We start from the raw sequence: 20,190 nt of genomic DNA, 5'->3' as shown, positions 1-20,190 counted from the left end.
GCACCTGGCCTTTTTTATTTTTTTCATGGAGTCTCACTATATTGCCCAGACTCACCTCAAACTCCTGAGCTCAAATGATCCTCCCAAAATGCTGGAATAGGCGTGAGCCACCAGGTCCAGCAAAATACTATAATGATTCAATGTACCCATTGTCACTCATTTAAGAAAGTTAACAAACTCTCCTTCAAAAACAGGAAATTGTGGGCTGAGTGCAGTGGCTCATGCATGTAATCTCAGCACTTTGGGAGACCGAGGCGGATGGATCACCTGAGGTCAGGAGTTCAAGACCGGCCTGGCCAACATGGTGAAACCTCATCTCTACTAAAAATACAAAAATTAGCCCCGTGTGGTGGCGCATGCTTGTTAGTCCCAGCTACTCAGGCGGCTGAGGCAAGAGAATCGCTTGAACCCAGGAGGCAGAGGTTGCAGTGAGCTGAGATCATGCTACTGCACTCCAGACTGGATGACAAAGCGAGACACCATCTCAAAAAAAAAAAAAAAAAAAAGGATAACCAATTGTAACTAAAGTCTGCCATCTGTATACTTTGATGAAATGTCTGTTCAAATTTTTTACCTTCTCTTCAATGTTTTTAACTTCAGATTTTTTTAATTGGGTTGTTTTCTTAGTGAGTTGTTTTATTGTTTTGTTTTGTTTTTGTTTTTTGAGAAAGATTTTTGCTCTTGTTGCCCAGGCTGGAGTGCAATGGCATGATCTCGGCTCACTGCAACCTCTGCCTCCCTGGTTCAAGTGATTCTCCTACCTCAGCCTCCCGAGTAGCTGAGATTACAGGGATGCGCCACCACGCCCAGCTAGTTTTGTATTTTTAGTAGAGATGGGATTTCACCATGTTCGTTAGGCTGGTTTTTACTCCTGACCTCACGTGATCCACCCATCTCGGCCTTCTTATCGATTTTAAAGAGTTCTTTTTATATTTTGGATACCATCCCTTCCTTGATCAGATACGCATATTGCAAATATTTTCTTCCAGCCTGTGGCTTATCTTTTTATTCTCTTAATAGCATCTTTCACAAAGTAGAAGGGTTTTTGTTTTTGTTTTTATTTTTTGGGTTTCTTTTGAGACAGTGTCTCACTCTATCACCCAGGCTGGAGTGCAGTGGCGCAATCTCGGCTCACTGCCACCTCTGCCTCCCGGGTTCAAGTGGTTCTCATGCCTCAGCCTCCCGAGTAGCTGGGACTACAGGCATGTGCCACCATGGTTGGGTAATTTTGTTTTTTAATTTAATTTGATTTGATTGTTTCTTTGTTTTTGAGACAGAGTCTCACTCCATCACCCAGGCTGGAGTACAGCGGCACAATCCCAGCTCATTGTAACCTCTGCCTCCCAGGTTCAAGGGACTCTTATGCCTCAGCCTCCCCAAAAGCTGGAATTACAGGCACACATCACCATGCCTGACTACTTTTTGTATTTTTAGTAGACTTGGGGTTTTGTCCTCTTGGCCAGGCCAGTCTCGAGCTCCTGATGTCAAGTGATCCACCAGTATCGGCCTCCCAAATTGCTGGGATTACTGGCATGAGCCACCATGCCCAGCCTAGAAGTTGTTACTTATTTATTTATTTATTTTTGGAGATGGAGTTTTGCTCTTGTTGCCCAAGCTGAAGTGCAGTGGCATGATCTCAACTCACTGCAACCTCAGGCTCTGGGATTCAAGGGATTCTCCTGCCTCAGCCTCCGGAGTAGGTGGGATTACCGGCGTCCGCCACATCGCCTGGCTAATTTTATTTTATTTTATTTTATTATTATTATTTTTTTTGAGACAGAGTCTCACTTTGTCGCCCAGGCTGGAGTGCAATGGCGCGATCTCAGCTTATTGCAACCTCCGCCTCCCGGGTTCAGGCGATTCTCCTGCCTCAGCCTCCCGTGTAGCTAGGATTACGGGCACGCGCCTCCACGCCCAGCTAATTTTTGTGTTTTTAATAGAGACAGGGTTTCACCATGTTGGCCAGGCTGGTCTCGAACTCCTGACCTCGTGATCCTCCTGCCTCGGCCTCCCAAAGTGTTGGGATTACAGGCGTTAGCCACCGCGCCTGGCCTTTTTTTTTTTTTTTTGAGACAGAATCTCGCTCTGTTGCCCAGGCTGGAGTGCAGTGACATGATCTCGGCTCACTGCAACCTCCGCCTCCTGGGTTCAAGCAATTCTATTACCTCAGCCTCCTGAGTAGCTGGGACTACAGGTGCATGCCATCACACCCAGCTAATTTTTGTATTATTATTAGAGATGGGGTTTCACCATATTGGCCAGGCTTGTCTTGAACTCCTGACCTCGTGATCCACCCACCTCGGCCTCCAAAAGTGCTGGGATTACAGGCGTGAGCCACCACGTATGGCCTAATTTTTTGTATTTTTAGTAGAGACGGAGTTTCATTATGCTGGTCTCGAACTCCTGACCTCAAGTGATCTGCCCACCTCGGCCTCCCGGAGTGCTGGGATTACAGGTCTGAGCCACTGTGCCTGGCCTAGAAGTTTGCTTGTTGTTGTTGTTGTTGTTGAGACGGAGTCTCACTCTGTCGCCCAGGCTGGAGTGCAGTGGCGCGATCTCAGCTCACTATGAGCTCTGCCTCCTGGGTTCATGCCATTCTCCTGCCTCAGCCTCCCGAGTAGCTGGGACTACAGGCGCCTGCCACCACGCCCGGCTAATTTTTTGTATTTTTAGTAGAGACGGGGTTTCACCATGTTAGCCAGGATGGTCTCGATCTCCTGACTTCATGATCCGCCCGCCTTGGCCTCCCAAAGTGCTGGGATTACAGGCATGAGCCACCGAGCCCAGCCAGAAGTTTTTAATTTTAACAAAATCCAACATCAATTTTTTTCTTACATGGATTGTGCTTTTAGTGTTATATCTAAAAGTCATTTCCAAACTCAAGATCACCCAGATTTTCTTCTATGAGTTTTATTGTTTTTTATTTTCCATTTTGTCTAAAATCTCTTTTGAGTTAATCTTTGTGAAGGGTATAAGGTCTGTGTTAGATTTTTTTTTTCTATGTGGATGTCCTGCTGTTCCAGCACCATTTGTTGAAAAGACTGTCCTTTCTCTGCTGAATTGCCTTTTCTCTTTTGTCAAAAATTAGTTGACTGTGTTTGTGTGGGTCTACTTCTGAGGTCTCTATTTTGTTCCATTGATTTAGTTTGTTTATCCTTTTGCCAAAACACAGTCTTTATTACTACAGTTTTGTAGTAAGTCTTGAAGCTGGGTAGTATCATGTCAGTCCTCAACTTTGTTCTTCTCCAATATTGTGTTAGCTATTCTGTGTCTTTTGCTTTTTTACATAAACTTTAGAATTAGTTTGTCTATATCCAGAAAACAACTTGCCAATATTTTGATTAAGAGTGCATTGAATATATAGGTCAAGTAGGGAAAAACTGGTATCTTGACAATATTGAGTCTTCTTATTCATGTAGATGGACTATCTATGTGTTTAGAGCTTGATTGTTTTTGTCAGAGTTTTGCAGCTTCCTTCATATAAATCTTATACATATTTTGCAAGATTTATACCTGTTACTTTTTTTGGTGCTAATGTAAATGGTAATGTGCTTAAATTACAAATTTTAATTATTCATTTCCCCATATCATCTTTTTTAAGAGATGGCCTCTCACTGTTTTGCCCACAACTCCTAGGCTCAAGTGACCCTCCTGCCTCAGCCTCCTGAGTAGCTGGGACTACAAGTGCACACTGCTATGCCTAGCTTCTATATGATTTTTTTTTTGAGTTTTTTGGAGACAGGGTCTCACTATGTCACCCAGGCTGAAGTGTAGTGGTGTGATCTTGGCTCACTGCTACCTCCACCTCCTGGTCTCAAGAGATCCTACCACTTCAGCCTCCGAAGTAGCTGGTACTACAGGCGTGTGCCACCATGCCCAGCTAATTTTTGTATTTTTAGTAGAGATGGGGTTTCACCATGTTGCCCAGGCTAGTCTTGAAATCTTGGACTCAAGTGATTTGCCCATCTCAGCCTCCCAAAGTGCTGGGATTACAGGCGTGAGCCACTGCACCTGTCCTCTTATATGATTTGCTTTAAAATATTGACCTTGCTATGATACTTCTCTACCACAAAATTATACACATATCAATAGATTGAAGCACTGAGATGAAAGAGGTGTAATCAGAGTTAGTGCTTAAGGCAGTTGTCCTCAAACTGAGGTATATATGCCATGATGATGTACAAAGAGTTTCCAAGGAATATGGGTAGTATTAGGGGAATTGATATTTACATAATTGATTTTATAAGGGAAATTTAACTTCATGTTTCTCTTACTTCTACTTTCTTTTCTTTCTTTCTTTTTTTTTTTTTTGAGACAGAGTTTCACCTTTGTTGCCCAGGCTGAAGTGCAGTGGCGCAATCTCGGCTCACTGCAACCTCTGCCTCCCGGGTTCAAGCAATTCTCCTGCCTCAGCCTCCCAAGTACCTAGGATTATATGCATGTGCCATCACACCCAGCAAGTATTTTGTATTTAGTAGAGACAGGGTTTCACCATGTCAGCCAGGCTGGTCTCGAACTCCTGACCTCAGGTGATCCGCCCGTCTCAGCCTCCCAAAGTGCTGGGATTACAGGCATGAGCCACCACACCCGGCTACCCTCTACTATTTAGGAACGGTATCTTATCTTAATCTGACATGACACTCTGCATGCCAGAATCAAAGGACAGAGTAACATTTTAAGATTCTGGCCTATCAAGAGAGTTTATTTGTTTGTTCAACAAATATTTATTAAATGACTGAATGCTTGATGACACCTACTTAGTAGGCATTTAAGATGGATAAGGTTATGATCCTCATGCAGTTGAATGTTTAGTAGGGGATTAACAAGTAAGTTGGTTGAATACAACAGGATAAATGCTATAATAGAGAATATATAGGCTGGGCATGGTGCCTCACACCTGTAATCCTAGCACTTTGGGAGGCCGAGGTGGGCGGATCATTTGAGGTCAGGAGTTCGAGACCAGCCTGGCCAACATGGTGAAACCCTGTCTCTACTCAAAATTAGCTGGGTGTGGTGGCACGTGCCTGTAATCCCAGCTACTCAGGAGGCTGAGGCAGAAGAATCATTTGAACCTGGGAGGCAGAGGTTGCAGTAAGCTGAGATCGCGCCACTGCATTCCAGCCTGGGCTACAGAGTGAGATTCCATCTCGAAAAAAAAAAATCAAGAGACTCTTTATTATTATTTTTTATTTCTTTATTTTGAGACAGGGTCTTGCTCTGTCACCCAGGCTGGAGTACAGTGGCATGATCTTGCTCACCACAGCCTCAACCTTTTGGGCTCAAACAATCCTCCTGCCTCAGCCTCCGAGTAGCTGGGACTACAGGCACGCACAGCCACACTGGGCTAATTTTTCTAGTTTTTTTGTAGAGACAGTGTTTCACCATGTTGCCCAGACTGCATCATTTTATTCTCATAATATTTTGCTTAGCATTTTAAACAGCATAGTAGTAAGTGTTGAAATGTTGTAACTAGGCAAGGACAAGGAGGAGAATTAGTATGTGATCTAGTGAGAGTGAAAAATAGACATGCCATTGACCAAAATGGAAACAAAACCCTTCTGGAAAAAAGGTGTAAGAACATTTAACAAACATGTTCTGAAGCACTGAATTTATCAATCTTGTCATCACCGAACACTGACTATAACTGCTCCTGACATATTCTTAGACACTGAATATAAATATATATATTTCAAGATTTATTATTTATTTATTTATTTTTGAGACGGAGTCTTGCTCTTTCGCCCAGGCCGGACTGCAGTGGCGCTATCTCAGCTCACTGCAAGCTCCGCCTCCCGGGTTCACGCCATTCTGCTGCCTCAGCCTCCCGAGTAGCTGGGACTACAGGCGCCCGCCACTGCGCCCGGCTAATTTTTTGTATTTTTAGTAGAGACGGGGTTTCACAGTATTAGCCAGGATGGTCTCGATCTCCTGACCTTGTGATCTGCCCGCCTCGGCCTCCCAAAGTGCTGGGATTACTGGCGTGATATTTTTTTAAGAGACGTGGTCTTGCTACGTAGTCCAGGCTTGAGTGCGGTGGCTATACACAGGCACTATCCAACTACTGATCAGCAGGAATTCTGACCTGCTCAATTTCTGTCCTGGGTTGATTCACCCCTCCTTAGGCAATCTGGTGGTCCCTTGCTCCCAGGAAGTCACTACGTTGATGCTGAACTTAGCACAGCCACCCAATCCGCATAGCACACTACAGCCCAGAACTGGGCTCACATGAGCCTTCTGCCTCAACCTCTGGAGTAGCTGGGAATACAGACATGGGCCACTGTGCCTGACTCAATACATATTTTTTGAATGAATAAATTCATTCTCCAGAATTGATTGCTGATTGAAAGTCAGCATCTGTGAATTTCAAGGCTGGTTGATCACTTGAAAATTAAGGAATTTATTTTGATTAGTTCAATTAAGGATAAATCCTGTTCCCCATTTCTTTTCTTTTTCTTTTTTTTTTTTTTTTTTTGAGACGAAGTCCTGCTCTTGTCCCCCAGGCTGGAGTGAGATGGCGCGATCTCGGCTCACTGCAACCTCTGCCTCCTGGGTTCAAGCGATTCTTCTGCCTCGGCCCCCCGAGTAGCTGTGATTACAGGCGCCTGCCACCATGCCCAGCTAATTTTTGTATTTTTAGTAGAGACGGGGTTTCACCGTGTTGGCCAGGCTGGTCTAGAACTCCTGACCTCAGGTGATCCACCCGCCTCGGCCTCCCAAAGTGCTGGGATTACAAGCATGAGCCACCGCGCCCACCCAATCCTGTTCCCCATTTCTAACTCTAAATTTTCCAATTTACCAAAGAGTTCTGGCAAGTGCCAAGGAGCTCATCTTGTTTCATTTCTACACCATCCAACTAAGGAGCGAAGCATTCGTGAGTACAAAAAGACCAGAGTTACAAAGTTCTAACGAAACAAAGCACTCTAATCTCATTTTATTTTGATTTTCCAGTTTGTCTGCCTCTACCTTCTAGATTATAAACTCCCTACAGGCAGGAAATGTGTAGGCCCAACTGAAATCCAGAAGATAAACATTTATTGACTGCATGCATAAATTAGTCAAGATGCCTTCCCCAAGGCTGACAATTTAGTGTGACACATATATTAAAACATTTTTAAGTCTTGGTTCTGCTGGACCTGCCAGATGGGGAAGAAATACACAATACCTGAAGATTGTTCACAAGCTGGGGGAACCAGTGGGTGGATTAGTTTTTTTTCTGAGAGAAGATCCTACTTCAGTGAATTGTGGGTCATAATGTTTGAGAGGCAATAATTATGCTGAATGAAAGAAGTTAGACGGAAAAAAAAGGTGCGTGCTGTATGATTCCCGTATATAAAACTTTAGCATGTGCAAACTTATCTGTACTGAAAGTAGATCTGTAGTTGATAAGGGACGTGATGGAGAGGGACGAGATGAAGGGATTATGAAGGGGGGGGAGGAAACTTAGAGGTGAATACGTTCATTTGATTATGGTGATTTCATGGGTGCACAGGTATGTCAAAACTTATCAAATTGGACATTTAAATACGTGCAGTTTGTCATGTCAATTATTTTAAAATAAAGTCGTTTTTAAAAAAGAGATAAGACAGTCAGATCCCTGAGGGTCAGATTGAGGAACTCTCGAAGACTTCAGGAGCAGAAAGATGTTAAAGCAGTTTTAAGAAAATTAAACTGATTGTGGTCTTCCCAGTAGATAAGGAATAACATTTAGTAAACCATTGCTAATAGCCAAACCTTGGCATGTGTGACAGCAAAATAAATGGAAAGGTGGATAGGTACATATTACATCAAGGGAACAACCCAGTTTTTGGTGCAGAAGGTGTGGTGTATGCGTGTATGTGGGTGAGTATCTCTGGAGGGAAAAAGACAGTCCCATAGTTAAACAAAGAAGAATATTTACCGGCAGCAACAGGAGAGGCTAGAGAAAGAACATGATTGGGGTAAAAAGATGATTCTGCATTTTGGACGAGGAGAGAGTAACATTTAAAGCCTCTACTCGCTCTGAAGCACACAGAGTGTGTTGCGACACTCGAGTTTGCTGGAGCGAGTCGGCACAGGCCAGGCCTAGTTAGCGGAATGAGCCCACACAGCAACTCCAGACTGGATCCGCAAGCCTTGAACCTTAACCCTCAACCTCCGATTCCCCAAGTTCCACTCTCGTAGCTGAGGCTGAAGTTTGTCTAAGTCCCGCCTAGGTACCCAACGGAGATACGGCGTGAACACCCCACCACTTTCTGGGAACCCAGAGGCGGTCGGCGTGGCGGCGCGAACCTGCCCAGCGCGTGCGCGCGGCGCGCAGGGAGGCGGCCTGGAATCGAGGGAGCGCGCGCCCTTCACGTGACCCGACCCGCGGGCGGCGACGCACGCGCCGCGCCGCGCCGCTCACGTGGTCCGTCCCCAGCCCCGTCGCCGGCGGAGGCGGGCGCGGGCGCGTCCCTGTGGCCAGTCACCCGGAGGAGTTGGTCGCACAATTATGAAAGACTCGGCTTCTGCTGCTAGCGCCGGAGCTGAGTTAGTTCTGAGAAGGTTTCCCTGGGCGTTCCTTGTCCGGCGGCCTCTGCTGCCGCCTCCGGAGACGCTTCCCGATAGATGGCTACAGGCCGCGGAGGAGGAGGAGGTGGAGTTGCTGCCCTTCCGGAGTCCGCCCCGTGAGGAGAATGGTACTGGACCCACGCAGGCCCGGGCGGGGAATGGTTCTGGGGTTGCGGGCGGTAAAGGAGAGACTTGGCAGGCAAGTGTGTGGGGAGCCGCGTTCCATGCGGCGAAGGACCCTCGAATTGCCTTGAGGCTTCCGGATTTGTCCTCTCGGGACGGGTGTGCAGTTCGTTCTGGGGTGAGGGGCGGGAGCAGGTAGCAAGTTAGAGGCGACACCTCTTCGCGGGAATCCCCTGAGCCGAGACTCGGCTCCCAGCGAGGGCCTCTCCAGGCGGCAGAGGCGCGAGCCCGGGACTACCTGGCTGGGCTCAGCTGAGCGGCCTCAGCGCGCCCGACGCAGGGCTCAGCCTACAAGCTCCGCATCTCCTGGGAGCACGGTCCTCCTGGCGCCAGTTGCTGGCAGATAAGGGAACCAAATGCTCTGCTCAAGTTTTACATGGAAAAAAGGGAGGGAGGGCTAGAAGGGTGCAAAAAGGGGGTAGAGGACACGGGTTTGGAGCAGTGCCTTGTTTGCTGTGCAGCGGATACTCTACAGGTACATTTCCTTTTTGGAACCAAAAGGGAGGGATTTGACAATATTGATGGTAGATCTTTTTTCTTTAGCAAGAATTAAGGATTTTGGTGGGTGGGGGGAGGCTTCTGTGGGGACCAAGACAATGTACTGTCAGTCAGGATTTAAGTCGAACTACCGCATCCCTTGCCCCAGAGAACAGTTGATCGTGTTTTAAACCGAAAGGTGCGGAATGGAGAGAGGGAGGCGGTGCATTGCAGCTTCCGATAGAGCTTTTTATTTTTGGATATCAGGAACCAATTTTGAAGATTTCTTAAGAAAGTCATTTACATCAGGGACATGAAGAGCAAAGTAGGTATTTTTGGTCAGTACTTGAATTTGATAGGCTTTATGCAAACAACTCTCCCTCTGCTGGAGTCTGGCAAGTTTGCTTTTCACTGGACGCTAATTCAAGTGCCATACAAAACTAAAATAAGAGTTTTACTTATAACACAAATGTAGTAATACTTTGAATAAATAATGTGTCTTTCACTATTTTCCACCTTATTCTTTTTTGTTTGTTTGTTTTGAGACAGGGTCTCACTCTGTCGCCCAGGCTGGAGTGAAGTGGCGCGATCTCCGCTCACTGCAACATCCGCCTCCGGGATTCAGGCGATTCTCCTGCCTCAGGCTCCCGAGTAGCTGGGACTGTAGCCACCATGCCCGGCTAATTTTTGCATTTTTAGTAGAGACGGGGTTTCACCATGTTTGGCAGGCTCGTCTCTTAATTCCTGACCTCAGGTGATCCGCCCGCCTCAGCCCCCCAAAGTCCTGGGATTACAGGCGTGAGCCACCGCGCCAGGCCAACATGGGAGATTTCAAACTTGCAAAGATACATTGTAGAATGAACTACCATATACCCATTGGCCAGTTTCAACAGCTTCAACCATGTGAATTTTATTTCTTCTATCATTCCTCAATGGGATAATTTTAAAGCAAATCCCAGACAAATGTCATTTATGGATACTTTATTGTGTTTATGTCTAAAAAGACAAGGACTTTTTAACATAACCACAATATTATTATCATGCCTAAAAATTAATAATTGCTTAGTATCATTAAATATTCAGCATATTTCCCTGATTGTCTCATGTTTTAGTCAGTTGATTTGTTAGAATCAGGTTACAAAGAATTCTGCACATAGCATTTGGTCGGTAACTCTTTCAGTCTCTAGTACCTTCTCTCTTGGGGTGTGGGGGTGTCTTTTACCATTTATTTGTTGAAAGAAACCCATCATTTGCCTTGTAGAATTTCCATCAGTTTGGATTTTGTTGAATGCATCCCTGTAGTGTCATGTAACATGTTTCTTTCTCCTCTGTATTTTTTTTTCTTTTTTCTTTTTGTTTGAGACCGAGTCTCGCTCTGTTGCCCAGGCTGAGTGCAGTGTAGCGATCTCGGCTGACTGCAGCCTCCGCCTCCTGGGTTCAAGTGATTCTCCTGCCTCAGCCTCCCGAGTAGCTGGGACTCCAGGTGCGAGCCACCACACCCGGCTAATTTTTGTATTTTTAGTGGAGATGGGGTTTCGTCATATTGGCCAGGGTGGTCTTGAACTCCTGATGTCCAGTGATCTGGCTGTCTCACCTCCCAAAGTGTTGGGATTACAGGCATGCCCCACTTTGCCCAGCTTCTACTCTTTATTTCCTGTGAACTAGTTAGTAGTTAATCTAAAGACTTGATCAGTAATCGGGCGTGGTAATCCTAGCTACTCAGGAGGCTAAGGCAGGAGAATCGCTTGAACCTGGGAGGTGGAGGTTGCAGTAAGCGGAGATCCTGCCACTGCACTACAGCCTGGGTGACAGAGTGAGACTCTGTCTCAGAAAAAAAAAAAACGACTTAATCAGGTGGGGCGCAGTAATCCCCATACTTTGGGAGGCGGCGACAGGCTGATCCCGGATCACTTGAGGTCAGGAGTTCAAAACTAGCCTGGCCAACATGGTGAAACCCCGTCTCTACTAAAAATTAGCAGGGCGTCGTGATGGGCACCTGTAATCCCAGCTACTCGTGAGGCTGAGGCAGGAGACTCCGTTGAACTTGGAGGCGGAGGTTGCAGTGAGCCAAGATTGCGCCATTCACTCCAGCCTGGGTGAGAGTCTTTCTCAAAAAAAAAAGACTTGATCAGATTCTAGTTTCATACTTTGACAATACTCATAGATAGTACTATGTACTTTCTGTTGCATTACATTAAGAGGCACATACTGTCTTTGTTTTTTGAGAAGGAGTCTTGCACTTGTTTTTTTTGTTGTTGTTGTTTTATTTTGTTTTTTTTGGAACAGAGTCTTGCTCTTGTCACCCAGGCTGGAGTGCCTGGCTTGCTGCAGCCTCTGCCTCCTGGTTCAAGCGATTCTGCTGCCCCAGCCTCCCGAAGCTGGGATTACAGGCGTCCACCACCACACCCGGCTAATTTTTGTATTTTTAGTAGAGACAGGGTTTGCCATGTTGGCCAGGCTGGTCTCAAACTCCTGACCCCAGGTGATCCACCCGCCTCGGCCTCCCAAAGTGTTGGGATTACAGGCGTGAGCCACTGACCCTGGCTTCTTTTTTTTTTTTTAAATGTTAAGATTGACCAGTGGATTCGTGTTGTCTGATGCCTGATCTCTCAGTTGTGAAGTTCCCCATATGTTATTCATGTAGTAGTTTTTGTAGTAGTCATTTAGTTTTTGTCATTGATCTATTATTTCATTCTGGGTTTCCTTTTCTCCTTTCTTTTTGGGAAATCTTTCAACATATAAGTAAATTGCAGTTTTTTTTTTTTAAGTGACTGCCTGTTAAATGTCAAATGCTTTAAGTTTGGTACCTGGGTCAGGGTGCAGTGGCTCATGCTTGTAATCCTAGCACTTTGAGAGACTGAGGCGGGTGGATCCCTTGAGCCCAGGAGTACAAGACTAGCCTGGGAAAGATGGCGAAACCCAGTCTCTACCAAAAAAAATAAAAAAACATTAGCTGGGCATGGTGATGCGCACCTGTGGTCCCAGCTACTTGGGAGGCTGAGGTGGGAGGATGGCTTGAGGTTGCAGTGAGCTGAGATCATGCCACTGCACTCCAGCCTGGGTAACAGAACCAGACCCTGTCTCAAAAAAAAAAAAAAAGTTTGGTACCGGGAAGCAAAATTCAGTGGTTGAGGTTAGTTTAGGACATAAGCATTACTTGACTATGGGGATTTTAACTGAGTCATTTATGTGAATCAGTAAAAAGAACTTAAGATGGGTGTCACTTTTAGATGATGCTTTGCAATTATTAGATTAGTTGAATGTGAATACAGTGTTTGACTTGGAGAATTGGACCTCTTGTACTTTATACAAATATGATTAGTTCTAATTTAAATTGTTAGTTCTTTTAGAGATTTTGTTGACTTTTTGGTACAGTTAATTTTGGATTTAGGAAATTGCTCTGGAATTTTTTTTTTTTTTTTGAGATGGAGTTTCCCTCTTGTCGCCCAGGCTGGAGTGCAATGGTGCGATCTTGGCTCACTGCAACCTCCGCCTCCTGGATTCAAGTGATTCTCCTGCCTCAGCCTCTAGTAGCTGGGATTACAGGCACACACCACAACGCCCATCTAATTTTTATATTTTTAGTAGAGATGGGGTTTCACCATGTTGGCCAGGCTGGTCTCGATCTCTTGACCTCATGCTCTGGATTTTTTTAACCTGTTTTTCTGGGACTGTGTATTTAGTTTTCTGTCCACGTAGGGGTTTTAGAACCCTGTTAAAGGAATTTTGGTGTGTGGAGGTAAGCAGTTTTTTGAAGTTGATAAGTCAAGACTTGACTCTTGACATATTTTTGCCAGGTCACAGTCCTTTTTTTTTTTTTTTTTTGAGACTGAGTTTTGCTCTTTTGCCCAGGCTTGCGGTGGCGCGATGTCGGCTCACTGCAAACTGTGCCTTCCAGTTTAAAGTGATTCTCCTGCCTCAGCCTCTCGAGTAGCTGGGATTACAGGTGCCTGCCACCATGCCTGACTAATTTTTGTACTTTTAGTAGAGACAGGGTTTCCCCATGTTGGCCAGGCTGGTCTTGAACTCCTGACCTCAAGTGATCCACCTCAGCCTCCCAAAGTGCTGGGATTACAGGCGTGAGCCACCGCACAGTCTTTTATGAGCATCACTGTTATCTTCTCAATCTGTAAAAGGCAAATGATAATCTTTTCCCTACTTGACCTAAGGAGCAATATTAGGATTAAAGTCTGTGAAACACTGTTTACCCCTCTTACTATCATATAAACATGTCAATAACATAACACCTTAACTATCCAGCTGCCAGACTTCTGGAAACCTTAACCTTTGGAAACAAAGCTCCTTGTGGAAAGTGAGCAAAAAGCTTTTGAGCTAAGTCATCAATAATATAGCAACCCTGAGACAGAGTTCACTGATTGAAAAATGTGTGCAAAGTGAAATTTAACAGGCTTAGTTTTCTGCTTTCTGCTGGCAGTTTGGTAGTATGCTGGAGATAACAGGAGGAAAGTTACCTGAGAAGCAGACTATTACTGTTAGGAGGACACTGGAGAAACATAATTAGACTAGAAAGATAGGGCTATACATTAGCCTTTACTATATGAAATGATAGTCTTCCTAGTCTAATTTATCATACCCAGTACCCGGAAGATACTCTGGACTAAGAGAAGTGTGTAATAGGCTTTAGGCACATTTTTGCATTAGCTAATGTGTCGGCATTTAGCTGTGGCCATTGCTCTGAATGCTTTGTGTGTGTGTGTGTGTGTGTGTGTGTGTATTTATTTATTTTTGAGACGAAGTCTTGCTCGGTCATCCAGGCTGAAGTGCAGTGGCGTGATCTTGGCTCACTGCAACCTCTGCCTCCCGGGTTCAAGTGATTCTCCTGCCTCAGCCTCCTGAGTAGCTGGGATTACAGGCATGTGCTACCATGCCCGGCTAATTTTTGTATTTTTGGTAGAGACGGAGTTTCACCATGTTGGTCAGGCTGGTCTCGAACTCCTGACCTCGTGATCTGCCCGCCTTGGCCTCCCAAAGTGCTGGGATTACAGGCATGAGCCACCTCGCCCGACACTTTACATATATTAATCCCGCAGGAAAATTCTGTGATGTCAATACTGTTTTCTCCATTATTTATATATAAAGAGCAGAGAATCAAAAATCACTTGCCAACGGTCACAAGGCTAATAAGTGGTAGAGTAGGTGTTGACCTGCCAAACTACAGAAACTTGGAGAAGGCTTTTGATATTCAGGGACATGTATATTTGTAAGACCTCAGATGACAGGTGTTATGTCAAGTTAAAAAAGTTAAGGTTTTTTTTAAAAAAGTTATAACTTAAAAAGTTTGCTGTACTTGATTTTCTTCAAATGATAATGAAACCTAATAGAATTTCCTTTACTATCAAATTTCTGTGTATTAACCTTAGGACAGATAATTTACAACTCAGTTGTCTGGTTTTTGTTTTTTTTTTTTTGAGACAAGTGTCTCTCTCTGTCAATTAGGCTAGAGTTCAGTGGTGCGATCTTGGCTCATTGCAGACTCCGCCTCCCGGGTTCAAGCCATTCTCCTGCTGCAGCTTCCCAAGTAGCTGAGGTTACAGGTTGCGCCACCACATTGGGCTACTTTTTGTGTTTTTATTTTTATTTTTTAAAAATTTGTGTTTTTACTGGAGACAGAGTTTTGGCATGTTGCTCAGGCTGGCCTTGAACTCCTGGTCTCAAGTGATCTACCTGCCTTGGCCTCCTAAAGTACTGGGATTACACGCATTAGTCTGTATGCATTTTATTTTATTTTTATTTTTATATTTTTTGAGATGGAGTCTTGCTCTGTCACCCAGGCTGGAGTGCAGTGGCACAATCTCAGCTCCCTGCAGCCTCTGCCTCCCGGGTTCAAGTGATTCTCCTCTGTCAGCCTCCCGAGTAGCTAGGATTACAGGCACCCGCCACCATGCCCAGCTAATATTTGTATTTTTAGCAGAGACAGGGTTTCACCATGTTGACCAGGCTGGTCTCGAACTCCTGACCTCAAGTGATCCACCCACCTTGGCCCCCCAAAGTGCTGGGATTACAAGCGTGAGCCACCGCCCGGTCATGCATTTTATTTTGACAAGTGCAGAGACACATACTCTGGGGCAATCCTTAGTAGATTAGAAAAGTCATTAAATAGATTTCTGGATGGGTGTAACTCTTTGTTAAAAGCAGCAGGAAAAGACTGGGCATGGTGGCTCTTGCCTGTAATCCCAGTGCTTTGGGAGGCTGAGGCGGGAGGATTGCTTGAAGCTAGGAGTTTGAGACCAGCCTGGCCAACGTAGATAACCCCACCTCTACTAAAAATATAAAAATCAGCTGGACGTGATGGTGTGCGCCTGTAATCCCAGCTCCTTGTGAGACTGGGGCATGAGAATTGGTTGAATCCAGGAGATGGAGGTTGCAGTGACTCCAGATTGCGCCACTGCACCCCAGCCTGGGTGACAAAACAAGACTCTGTCTCAAAAAAAAAAAAAAATATATATATATATATATATATATATATTATATATATACACATATATATAATATATATATATATAAATGAAATAAAACCTGTAGAAACCTATCATGAATGTATCAACAAAAGTATCAACACCCTGCTCACTGATAGATAATGGGTTGATATGGCTTACTCGCAGTGTGAACGTCCAAGCGTCCAAGTTTTCTGTTTTGTTTTTTTTGGATAGTGTTTTGCTCTGTTGCCCATGTCAGAGTGCAGTGACATCATCATGGCTTACTGTATTCCCAACCTCCTAGGCTCAAGTGATCCTGCCACTTCAGCCTCCCAAGTACCTAAAATGACAGGCCCATACCACCAACCTGGCTAATTAAAAAATTTTTTTGACTGGGTGCGGTGGTTAATGCCTGTAATCCCAGCACTTTGGAAGGCTGAGGCGGGTGGATCACCAGGTCAAGAGATCGAGACCATCCTGGCCAACATGGTGAAACCCCATCTCTACTAAAAATACAAAAATTAGCCGGGCGTGGTGGCACGCACCTGTAGTCCCAGCTACTCGGGAGGCTGAGGCAGGTGAATCTCTTGAACCCAGGAGGTGGAGGTTGCAGTGAGCTGAGATCACGCCATTGCACTCCAGCCTGGGTGACAGAGCGAGACTTCGTCTCAAAAAAATTTTTTTTTTTGTTTTTGCAAAGATGGGTTTCTCACTCTGTTGCCCAGGTTGATCTTGAACTCCTGGGCTTAAGTGGTCCTCTTGCCTTGGCCTCCCAAAGTGTTGGGGTTACAGGCATAAGCCACTGCACCTGGCCTTAAGTTTTTAAATATATAGAACTTTTCTACCAATTGTTACAGAATTATAGATGCTTTTCAATAATATCTTTAAAACTCTCATAGGGTTCGTATCTAAAATGTCAGTAATATCTAATTATTAATTAGTTGAGTAGTTGGCAGCCAGTTTAGAGTAAGAGTGGAACTCTGTGACATAATAAAATTATGTATATGTGTGTGTGTGTGTATATATATATATATATATATATATTTTTTTTTTTTAAAGAATGGAACTAGAGAGTAGGGTCTGTAAGAGTGTCAGAAAGTCAAATGTATTGAACTCTGATAGGGGAAGTCAGAGAGTGCCAGCTTATTTCAACATTTTGCTTTAGGCTAGTCTTATTTGTCATTGTCTGTGTCACCCTTGGCAGGCATGTTGGTCACCCTTGGCAGGCATGTTGACCCATGTACAAATTTATCACATAACTCTGAATTTCTAGGTGTTGGTTTTTGTTTTTGTTTTTGTTTTTGTTTTTGTTTTTTTTTTTTGAGAGAGAGTCTCACTCTGTTGCCCAGGCTGGAGTGCAATGGTGCATCTTGGCTCACTGCAAGCTCTGCCTCTTGGGTTCACGCCATCCTCCTGCCTCAGCCTCCCGAGTAGCTGGGACTACAGGCGCCCACCACCACGCCCGGCTGATTTTTTGTATTTTTTTAGTAGAGACGTGGTTTCACCATATCGGTCAGACTGGTCTCAATCTCCTGACCTCGTGATCCGCCCGCCTCGGCCTCCCAAAGTGCTGGGATTATAGGCATGAGCCACTGCGCCCAGCCAATTTCTAGGTCTTTAGTGTCATTTAACTTTCTTTTCTTGAGCACATGAACTTTATTAGTAGGCAATTTCTTTTAATTTGATTACCGTTCTTTTGAATATGGGTCACATTTTCCTGTCCATTACCATATCTAGTCATTTTGGAGTGTATATTGGACATTGGGATTGTTACTTAGTAGAGGCTCTGGGTTACCTTTTGTTTTTTTTTTTTTTTTTTTTTTGATACGGGGTCTTGTTCTGTTGCCCAGGCTGGAGTGCAGTGGCGTGATCTCAGCTCACTGCAAGCTCTGTCCCCCAGATTCAAGCAATTCTTCTGCCTCAGCCTCCTGAGTAGCCGGGATTACAGGCGCGTGACACCACACCCGGCTAATTTTTGTGTTTTTAGTAGGGATGGGGTTTCACCATGTTGGTCAGGCTGGTCTCAAACTTCTGACCTTGCGATCCGCCTGCCTTGGCCTCCCAAAGTGCTGGGATTATAGGTGTGAGCCACCACGCCCAGCCTCTGGGTTCTCTTTTAATCCTGTGCTCTGTGTGTGTGTGTGTTGTTGTTGTTGTTATGTACTGAATGTGATCTCCCTCGCTCCCCGAGAATTCATATCTTGAAGCCCTAACCTCCAGTGTGATGGTATTTGGAGATGAGAACTTTGGGAGATGGAGGTAATCAGGGGTAGATGAGGTCATGAGGGTGGGGCCCTGGGTCTGATAGGATTTATGTCCTTAGAAGAAGAGATACCAGAGAGCTTATTCACTCCCTCTTCACTGTGTGAAGACACAGTGAGGAGGCAGCTGTCTGAGAGCCTTCATCAGACACTGGCCCTCCTGGAATCTTGATCCTGAACTTTCAGTCTCCAGAACTGTGAGAAAATTTGTTTCAGTTGTTATCCCACCAAGTCTGTGTGGTATTGGTTGTGGCATCCCAAGCCGACTAAGACAGTTGTTGATTAACTTCATTGTACTCAAACTCCAAACTGTCTCTCCTACAATGGGCAGCAGGAATATCTGCTCAGTTATTTTATTTAGCTGGGCTGCCTGGAGGCTGCCCCATGTGTACGATCTTCATGGGTCAGTGAGAGATTTGTGTAGAATTAATATTAAGTATTTAGGATTCCTTTTCTCAACTCTTGCGGAAACTTTCCCATCACTTTCCAGCTGCTGTTTTCACCTTGAACTGGGTATTCTGGTTCTATAAGTCAGTAAGACTGTGGGATTTCTATTGATATTTTGCTGTTCACTAGGCATAGGATGGGGACTGTTTTCAGGCAAAAAGCCTTAAAAATTGGGAAACTCACTCAATACCATTCCTTTATTCTAAGTATAGACTCCGTCTGGTTTCTGCTTGCTTTTGGTTGCTCTTCAGTGTCCTCAAGTCTTTTTTATCTTTTTATTAAAAAAAAAATTTAAACGATAGAGATGAGGTCTCGCTGTGTTGACCAGGCTGGTCTCAAACTCCTGGCCTCAAGCAGTCCTCCCATCTTGGCCTCCCAAAGTGCTAGGATTACAGGTGTGAGCCACTGTGTCTAGCCTCTTTTTTATCTTTTGTCCAGAATTTATGGTGGTTATCTGAGGGATGGTTAGCCTAATAGGACCTACTTCTCCATAGCTAGAATTTTCTAATTTTAATATATATAATCATAGAATGTATTTGTTAAAAAAAAATTTGATTTCCACATGTTACCTTAACAGCAGAATTTTTTAGGAATCTTTAATTTTTTCCCCCAATTTTTGCTAGCAGCATCTAGGCAGGAAGGATGTGCTGGTAGTGATTTGTTTAGAGAGTAAGGTGTGCTTAGGTTTATTTGTAATACATGTCCCTTATTGCTGGTAGACTGGTGTAAGAATTTATAATTTAAGGAGTTTTGAAGTGATCACCATCATAGTTGAAATTTGACTATGTGCCATGCATTGTGCTAAAACAACTTACATGGATCATTTTGTTTAATCACCAGAGTAACATTGTGAGTAAGTACTGTTGTTATCCTATTTTACAGGTAAGGAAGCAAAAAGAGGCTCTGAAACTTGCACAAGGTTGCACACATAGTAAACAGCAGAGCTGGGATCCTAACTCAGACCAGTCTGATTCCAGAATCTGTACTATTTAACCACTGAAGATCACCAACTGATCTTTAAGATTCCCTGCTCTACTAGCATTCTGTGGATATAGTTACTTTTTACATTACTTGGAACATACAAATTTAGGAATTTTCAGATTTGTGTTTGTAGTTTGCCACCTCTTGGTAAAATCTGGTAGTGCAACCTAGCAAAATTAAAAAGCAAAGTGTATAAAACTAGGATTTTTATATGTATTTATAACCAGGGCACATTTGATTGGGTAACTGATGGCAGAGAAGAAACTTAGAATTTCAAAAACTATAAAAACTTTTTTTTATCATTAGGTGATATTTACAACTTTCAGCTGGGGTATGTGAATATTGGATTTGTGAAGCCGATTCCTGTGTAACAAGTGAAGGCCGTAAATGATGAGAATGCTACGTGTGGGAAGAATGTATGTACATTTGGCTGTTACATAAACAGAATGAGAGGTAGTAAGTTTTTGAAATAAACAAAATTGGTGAATGAGGTAGGGAAGGCTGTAGGAGATTTTCTTTTTTTTTTTTTGAAATGGAATTTTGCTCTTGTCGCCTGGGTTGGAGTGCAATGGCGTGATCTTGGCTCACTGCAACCTCTGTGTCCTGGGTTCAGTCGATTCTCCTGCCTCAGCCTTCTGAGTAGCTGAGGTTACAGGTGCCCGCCACCATGCCCAGCTAATTTTTATATTTTTAGTAGAGACTGGGTTTCACCATGTTGGCCAGGCTGGTCTCAAACTCCTGACCTCAGGTGATCCACCTGCCTCGGCTTCCCAAAGTGTTGGGATAACAGGCATGAGCCACCGTGCCCAGCCAGGAGATTTTCTTGAAACATGCTAATGTCATTATGTGTCCCTGTAGGCATAAAATTTAGTAAA

At 44.4% G+C, this 20,190-nt stretch overlaps 2 protein-coding genes and 1 pseudogene across 6 annotated transcripts in view, besides 6 other annotated features; 2 read left to right on the top strand and 1 right to left on the bottom strand.

Annotated features, from left to right (window-relative positions):
* Positions 6,073-6,288, bottom strand: RN7SL354P (RNA, 7SL, cytoplasmic 354, pseudogene; annotated as a pseudogene).
* Positions 8,000-8,179: an enhancer, noted in NCBI's record as "active region_9397". NCBI's record gives its function as "activates an Ori minimal core promoter by ATAC-STARR-seq in GM12878 lymphoblastoid cells {active_cell/tissue: GM12878}" and the evidence as "EXISTENCE:reporter gene assay evidence [ECO:0000049][PMID:35858748]".
* Positions 8,270-8,439: a silencer, noted in NCBI's record as "silent region_6429". NCBI's record gives its function as "represses an Ori minimal core promoter by ATAC-STARR-seq in GM12878 lymphoblastoid cells {active_cell/tissue: GM12878}" and the evidence as "EXISTENCE:reporter gene assay evidence [ECO:0000049][PMID:35858748]".
* TRPM7 (transient receptor potential cation channel subfamily M member 7) overlaps positions 8,391-20,190 on the top strand; it is a 129,640-nt gene continuing 117,840 nt past the window's right edge. For all 5 annotated transcript variants that reach the window (NR_149154.2, NR_149152.2, NR_149153.2 and 2 more), the window contains exon 1: positions 8,391-8,657. Coding sequence is in view for 2 of the 5 variants with exons in the window: in NM_001301212.2 (NP_001288141.1) it covers positions 8,655-8,657 (3 nt within the window). In the remaining 3 variants the exon portion in view is untranslated. The remainder of the gene's footprint in view (positions 8,658-20,190) is intronic.
* Positions 8,439-9,303: an enhancer, noted in NCBI's record as "H3K27ac hESC enhancer chr15:50978082-50978946 (GRCh37/hg19 assembly coordinates)". NCBI's record gives its function as "activates a minimal SCP1, AML or CMV promoter by ChIP-STARR-seq in naive and primed H9 embryonic stem cells {active_cell/tissue: H9 hESC(naive and primed)}" and the evidence as "EXISTENCE:reporter gene assay evidence [ECO:0000049][PMID:30033119]".
* Positions 8,471-20,190, top strand: part of LOC128092252 (uncharacterized) — a 37,916-nt gene continuing 26,196 nt past the window's right edge. Inside the window, exon 1 of the mRNA NM_001414947.1 lies at positions 8,471-8,657. Coding sequence (NP_001401876.1) covers positions 8,471-8,657 — 187 coding nt within the window. The remainder of the gene's footprint in view (positions 8,658-20,190) is intronic.
* Positions 8,490-8,909: an enhancer, noted in NCBI's record as "active region_9396". NCBI's record gives its function as "activates an Ori minimal core promoter by ATAC-STARR-seq in GM12878 lymphoblastoid cells {active_cell/tissue: GM12878}" and the evidence as "EXISTENCE:reporter gene assay evidence [ECO:0000049][PMID:35858748]".
* Positions 17,130-17,630: an enhancer, noted in NCBI's record as "H3K4me1 hESC enhancer chr15:50969755-50970255 (GRCh37/hg19 assembly coordinates)". NCBI's record gives its function as "activates a minimal SCP1, AML or CMV promoter by ChIP-STARR-seq in naive and primed H9 embryonic stem cells {active_cell/tissue: H9 hESC(naive and primed)}" and the evidence as "EXISTENCE:reporter gene assay evidence [ECO:0000049][PMID:30033119]".
* Positions 17,631-18,131: an enhancer, noted in NCBI's record as "H3K4me1 hESC enhancer chr15:50969254-50969754 (GRCh37/hg19 assembly coordinates)". NCBI's record gives its function as "activates a minimal SCP1, AML or CMV promoter by ChIP-STARR-seq in naive H9 embryonic stem cells {active_cell/tissue: H9 hESC(naive)}" and the evidence as "EXISTENCE:reporter gene assay evidence [ECO:0000049][PMID:30033119]".

The sequence above is a fragment of the Homo sapiens genome, chromosome 15 (genome assembly GCF_000001405.40).
Source record: "Homo sapiens chromosome 15, GRCh38.p14 Primary Assembly".
Lineage (NCBI taxonomy): Eukaryota > Metazoa > Chordata > Mammalia > Primates > Hominidae > Homo > Homo sapiens.
The sequence above is the reverse complement of the archived record's forward strand: the minus strand, read 5'-3'. Positions and strand labels throughout refer to the sequence as shown.